Source organism: Homo sapiens, chromosome 19 (assembly GCF_000001405.40).
Source record: "Homo sapiens chromosome 19, GRCh38.p14 Primary Assembly".
Lineage (NCBI taxonomy): Eukaryota > Metazoa > Chordata > Mammalia > Primates > Hominidae > Homo > Homo sapiens.
In genome coordinates, this window is record NC_000019.10 from 35,484,523 (window position 1) to 35,491,227 (window position 6,705).

At 49.6% G+C, this 6,705-nt stretch overlaps 1 protein-coding gene across 2 annotated transcripts, besides 1 other annotated feature; it reads right to left on the bottom strand.

Moving 5' to 3' along the window:
• Positions 207 to 296: a silencer, noted in NCBI's record as "silent region_10527". NCBI's record gives its function as "represses an Ori minimal core promoter by ATAC-STARR-seq in GM12878 lymphoblastoid cells {active_cell/tissue: GM12878}" and the evidence as "EXISTENCE:reporter gene assay evidence [ECO:0000049][PMID:35858748]".
• On the bottom strand, positions 2,802 to 5,942 carry KRTDAP (keratinocyte differentiation associated protein). 2 transcript variants are annotated; one of them, NM_207392.3, is made up of 6 exons: positions 5,834 to 5,942; positions 4,280 to 4,318; positions 4,140 to 4,181; positions 3,919 to 3,963; positions 3,190 to 3,237; positions 2,802 to 2,944 (listed from the first exon to the last, which is right to left on the bottom strand). In NM_207392.3, exons 1-6 carry the CDS (start codon positions 5,918 to 5,920, stop codon positions 2,906 to 2,908), a joined length of 300 nt encoding a protein of 99 aa, NP_997275.1. In that variant the 5' UTR covers positions 5,921 to 5,942; the 3' UTR covers positions 2,802 to 2,905. The 2 variants fall into 2 exon arrangements, with proteins under 2 accessions (NP_997275.1, NP_001231776.1); NM_001244847.2 differs by lacking the exon at positions 4,140 to 4,181.

A 6,705-nucleotide genomic window follows, 5' to 3' on the forward strand; every position in this document is an offset into this window, starting at 1 on the left:
TAAAGAAGAAATGAAACATGATATAGAAGTGGCTTCTGTCACACACCGTCCCCCCTTATCTCCTATGTGCCACTCTCCTATCACATGGGATCTCTCCATCTAAGGGGCAACTACTATCCTGATTCTGGGTTAATCTTAAGTTCTCTGACGTTCCTTTTTGAAGTGGTTCTCAGACTTTAGTGAATCAGACTTGCTTAGAGGGCTTGTCAAAACACAGATTGCTGGGCCCCACCCCTGGTTTCGCACTTAGTAGATCTGAAGTGGGGCCCAAGAATTTGCATTTCTTTTCAGTTCCCAGGGGATCCTGGTGCTGCCAGCGTGGGGACCACACTTTGAGAACTACCGCCTTATCTCAGAGATACTCTTAACTTGTGTATCGTGACTCCTAGTCCCCTGGGGATGCTTTACTCCTCCCCTAAAACCTAGTCACTCGATGGGTGTCCCTTAAGCACCTCCCCTCTTCTTCCTGTACTCCATTTCCTATCACCTAGTTTGTGAGTGCACAATCTTCACTAAGTATTTCAACTGATTGTGGCATTTCACCAGTGTCCATAGTTTTCTTCTCTGTTGGTTATTCCATTTATAGCTTTCCTCTCCTTTGTGTGTATTGGAAGGAAGAGCATAAGCAACTTTTTTTTTTTTTTTGACAGAGTCTTGCTCTCTCACCGAGGCTGGAGTGTAGTGGTACAATTTTGGCTCACTGCAACCTCCGCCTTCCGGATTCAAGCGATTCTCGTGCCTCAGCCTCCTGAGTAGCTGGGATTACAGACATGCATCACCACACCCGGCTCAGTTTTGTATTTTTAGTAGAGATGGGGTTTCACCATGTTGGCTAGGCTGGTCTCGAACTCCTGACCTCATGTGATCCGCCCACCTAATTTTGTGTTTTTAGTAGAGATGGGGTTTTGCCATGTTACCCAGGCTGGTCTCAAACTCCTGACCTCAAGGGATACACCCACCTTGGCCTCCCAAAGTGCTGGGATTACAGGTGTGAGCCACCGTGCCCGGCCAGGAACATTTACATGTCTCATTCACCTGGTCTGTAAGCGCCTTGAAAGTAGGAACCAAGTTTAATTTCCCTTGTAGTCCACTTCCTCGATTAAACTGCAGTTGATGGTTTACAAACGCAGTTGCTTATAAAGGCCAAAGGCAATGTAAACAAGTGAAGCTTGCCAAGTAGAAAGTTCCCTGGAAGCCATGTCCTGTGTAAAGAGGGCAGCTGCTACTTGGCTTTAAGCCAGTCGCAGGTCCACTGTTCTCTAATCTTCCCAGTTTTCAAGAGAAACCAGAAACAATTCCAACTAGTTTAGTATTTTAAGTACACAAATTGGGTCAGAGAAAATACATCTACAGGAAGCAAAACTAAATCCATTTCATGTTTCAAGATCTTTGCAGTGGATGGATGGATGGATGGATGGATGGATGGATGGATGGATGGATGGATGGATGGGTGGGTGGATGGGTGGATGGGTGGGTGGATGGCTGGGTGGATGGATGGATGCGCGAGTGAATGAGTGAATCTGGATCATTGCGGCTGCTCTCTGGTTGAAACTGGGGGAGTAGAGATACACTATCTACTATATGCCTGGCCGTGTGCAAGGGGCTTTATATACTTATGTCATTTGACCTTCATAACAACACCACAGAGTGGTTATCATTCTTATTTATCTCCATACTCATTTCACGGATAAAGAAACAGAGGCTTAGGAAGACTCAAGGTCACGCTGCTAGTTTTCTTTATTTAGAGCCCACCTAATTCCAAAAAAAAAAAGGATTTCAGATGGGCTCATGTGATTGAAGCTGGGTCCTGAACTTTGGATTTCAGATAGCTCTGTTACACAAAATCGCCACTACAAAGGGAATCAGGTTTTCAGAAGGTAGGTAAGGGGGAATGCCAACAGGTCAGGGAGTAGGTTTGATTTGTGAAAGGAAAATAAAAACTTGGGACCCCAATTCACTCTGTCGAAAGGAAAAAAGATAAGCCGAAAGCTGAGACATGCCAGAAGCTGCCTTTCCTTTTGTTCCTAAACAGATAGCTACAGGTAAAAGGTTAACTATCTCAACAGATAGCTATTCTATGTTCACCATATCTTATGTAAACTGCTGGATTTACTGAGCATGAGACAAATATATAATGGACTATTCCCCTACCTGCTCCTTTTCTCTTATAACATGTGGATTCAGTGATGTGACCATTCCCTCCCTCTTTCCCCGCTTTTCCCCTTTAAATACTGAAGCTCTCAAAATCATCTTTGGAGAAAGGCACAGACCACAGACTGTTCCTCTGATTCTGTATTTTTTTCTCCCCGGCATTGTCCTTAACCTTGGCAAAATAAACTTCTCAATTGATTGAGACCTGTCTCAGATACTTTTTGGGTTACAAATTGGCAACCCGTGAATGGCCTCTGAATGGAGGTGGCCCTGACCTCTGACAAATCTATCGTTGCTTGGTACTGGTTTGAGCTGTCTTTATTGCTCAAACCAACAGGACAGTTTTCTGGGTCCAGGAGCTCCCCCTTAAGAGAATGAGACCTGTCTCAGATACCTTTTGGTTTAGAGATTCCCTGAGCATCTTACTAAGCAAGTCATAGCTTCATGCTCCTCAAGGATCCCAGCCAACACTAAGGAGCTAAGACACAAGGGGGTCTCTTGCCATCTTGGTGTGTCCTTTCTATTTCCTCCTGTCTCCCTACTTACTCTCCTCTTGGAAGTCAAGATTTCTACCTATCAGCCTTGGGGCTCATTCCATCTTAATTCCTTTGTAAAGCCCAGTAGGAGGACAGAGACGCAGATACAGGAGCTGTTGGATGGAAAATGTTTTATTGGAGTTCCTGAGGCAGGAAAGAGTTATGGTAGGTTGAGAATCAGCGCTCACGCTAGCCCCCTCTTCCAGTGGAGGTCATGGTCACTGGGCATCAGGAGTTGCGCTCCTCAGTCCTTTCAGCTAGAGGGAGAGGGGTCAGGGTTAGATGGGGAACCCGTGGGTGCCCAGTATAGGATGGCATGGATGGAAAGGAATTTCTGCCTCGGTGTGAGTTCCCGTTCTCCTCTATATGTAGTAGCTAAGACCTCCCTTCAGTTTGGTGAGAAGGCTGATCCTCCTTTCCCTGTCCCCACTCTCTCTCCCATATCTTCTGCTTCTTCCCTTACCCCCAAGCTCCATACCCTCCTAATGCCCACACCTCTTACCTTAGGAAAGGCATCCCAGTTGAGGAAAGGAAGTTTCCTTTTGATAGACTAAAAGAAAGAAAGAGAAAGAGAGTGATGTGTTGCAGGTCAGCCGGGCATGGATGGGTAAGCATTCCCTTAATGAACTCCCACAGTAACCATAGTAACAATAATGTCATTATTTTGTCATTACTTTATCAAGAGCTAATATTTCCTGAGGCCTTAGTCTGTGTCTGCCTTGCACGGGCTGCTCTACAAGCATGATTTCAGTGGGTTTTTACAGCAACCTTTTGTGGTGGGAATTGTCATCATCCCCACATCACAGAGGAAGCGGAGGCCGAGGGAGCTGAAGGCGTTCGCATGAGGCCATGTGAGAAGTCAGTGCAGAGTCAGGAGACGCGGGCCCCAGCTCTGTCGCTGACTTTGCCTTCTAAGTGCGGGTGGGCCTCAGTTTTTCCATAGAGGATGAGGGGATTCAAATAAAATCTTGACCGATTAGCCTCTTCCTCTTCTGCAATTGTCCTTGGGGCCCTGCTCCTCCACCACCATCTTAGGAAAACACGGGTAGCCAGGACTGGCGCCGGGGGAAGCTTTCTTCCGTTGACAGCCCATTGGGCAGCATCCAGGCAGGACAGTCACTCCCTCCCAGAGATCAGGAACCAACCCATACATTTAAAGCCAAAATGTGTGGCCACTACCCTGGGATGACTGCAGACAACCGAGGAGGGCAAGGGGCGCCGGAGCACTCACCTCAAAGAGGGCGTGCCAGTTCAGGAACTCATCAGCCTTAAACGCCTGAGGAGGAAGAGAGACAGCAGAAGCAGGTCAGCTCCAGGGGAGGCCAGAGCTTAGCCCCCAGCCCTCTGGAGAAGGTGAAGGAACCGTGGCAGCTTTGCAAGCTCTCTACCAAGGCGTTTATCCCCTCTGTGATGAGGGTATTCGTGGGGGTAGCACCAGAGAAGCGTACTCACAGATCGCAATTTGTCGATGTTCAGGAACGGGGTGTTAAAGGCCTAGGCAGAAACGCAGGGTGTTAGGAAAGTTGCTAAGAAGCAAAAAGAGAGAGAGGACAGACTCGTGGCTGGAGGGCCGGGGAAAACAGACGGCTTACCTCGGGTCGTGACGCATAATTCTCAATGGTGCTTTCTTCCTGGAAAAGGAGAGGGAGAAAAGGCGGCAGGGGGTCACGTGATGCCAGGGCCCTTGCCCACATCCCTGTCTGCCAGCTCTGCCTTCATCCACAGCCCAGTCCCCGAAAGAACGCAACCCATTCCCCACCATGGTCTCCGTTCCAGTCGCGCACATGGTTGGCGGATGTGCAGGGTGAGGAGGGGGAATTGGAGAATGGTACATGTAAGCAGTGTCACCATGGGCAGCAGGCAGAAAGCCTGGAGCCGAGCATTCCTCTCCGGAAAAGCTAGCTAGTGCTGTCCTGCAGTTGACTTAAGTCTAAGAGGTGGGGTGTTCTGGAGACACCCACGCTCAGTCCGTATAGCTGGATGGGAAAGATTTGCGAGCAGGTGGGAGCCCAGCTGCTGAGGTGACCCGCCTGCCTCTCACTGATCGAGGTTGCTTTGCTTTGTGGATTTATTGCCACCACTGTTGGAGGTTCCATAATCCCCCTCCATGGGGACCCCACCCCAGGCCTCAGTGTGTCCCATCGTGTCTTCCCCATGACAGAGCCCAACACGGAGCCCGCAGGCTGGATCCAGATGCTTAGATCTCATAAAAATTTGGTCATTTGTTTTTTGGTTTGAATTAGACATTTTGAATTAGTAAGAATTCATAAATTCATCCAGATTTCTAGTTTCCCCTGAAAAATGTAAAACTCTAGGCACATCTTCCCAATCCATGGCGTCAGGTGGGGTGAAAGCTGCCCTTTCAGACTGGGAAAGTTGGCCCCATTTCACCTCAGGCCCTGACAGCCCCCCCAGCTCAGTGACACCACTGGCTTGGTCCTTAGCAGCTGAGCCTGTGCCCCTGTCTTAGACTTTTAAATCCGGAATAGGCATCAGGATTCCTCTCTGGCTGAGGACTGGATGGTAAAGATTCTCACTGTGGCCTATGCTCCAGAGACAGCAGGGAGCCACCCGTCACCTGGGCACCACTCCCAGGGGCACAAATGAAGCAAAGAGGAGCTAAGCAGGGGTGTCTCCAGAACACCCCAGCCCCACTCCTCTTTGAGTTAAGTCAGCTGCAGGCAGAACTAGCTAGTTTTTTGCTTTGCTTCACCCTCTCCACCTGCTGCCCATGTGGATGCAGGCCTGGGTTTGGAGCTGCTCTGCCTCACATTGCCGTTCTCCAGTTCCCCCTCTTCCCCTGCACGTCCCCAGGCATGTGTGCAGCTGGAACGGAATGGGTGAACACTCTTGAGAGCCCATGGTGGAGATAGTCTGAACCCAGACCACCCACTCAGTCCCAAGGTTCAGTACACGAGCCTCCCCAACACACTTCACCATCCCTTCCAGAAAGAGGAGCATCTCTGTCCCAAATGTCTCCCCAGGGATGCTCTGTTCCCTCCTCCCTTCCTCAGAGCCCCAGTTTCTTCAGCCCCCATCAGAATCCAAAACTAAGAGCCACTTATCCAGGAATGGACAGGAGGTAGAGAGATGGAGGGGTAGGTGGGTAACACGTATAAGAATAAAAATGCAGGTGACGTGCTCACCTCAGGACCACCCAGGGTGGCTCCCTGGGCAGAGTGGAGCACCAGGAGGGAGAGGAGCACCACGGCAGGAAGGACCGGGATCTTCATGGCGTCAAGTTTGGGGTGCTCTGAGGCGGGGCCTCAGTGCTTGCTCTTTATATTGCCAAGGAGGCAGATGAGCACAGAAATGGGGTCCCCACCCCACTGACTCACCCCCAGATCTTGTCGCCCACCCCCGGGGCTCTGGGAGGGGGAGGCATGGACTGTTCCTCATTTGCCTCGGATTTCTCAATTCGCATTCTGCCCCAGGCACGTGGAAGGTAACACTGCAATGGGTCTCTTCATGCAGATGGGGCTGGGACAGAGACAGGTTGGACCTGTCCCTCCAAGGGATTGGCAGTGGTACCCAAGCAACCTCTCCTTTTGTCTTTGTCTCTTTTCGTTATATCCCTCATTCCTCTCTTAGAATTCAGGCTTTTTCTTTTCTTTTCTTTTCTTTTTTTTTGACAGGCTCTCACTCGTTGCCCAGACTGGAGTGCAGTGGTGTGATCACAGCTCACTGCAGCCTTGACCTCCCAGGCTCAAGCAATCCTCCCACCTCAGTCTCCCTAGTAGCTGGGACTAGAGGCACGCATCACCTCACCTAGCTAACTTTTTTATTTTCTTGTAGAGATGTTGCAGCTTTTTTTTTTTTTAATTTTCTCGTAGAGATGAAAATGTCTCGCCATGTTGCCCAAGCTGGCCTCAAACTCCTGGACTCAAGGGGTCCGCCTGCCTTGACCTCCCAAAGGACTATAGGTGTGAGCCTGCGCTCCATGCTCATTCAGGCCTTTTCTTCCACCCTACCAAAATCTATGTAAACTCTTTAGCTTGGCATTGAAGGTGGTCCATGC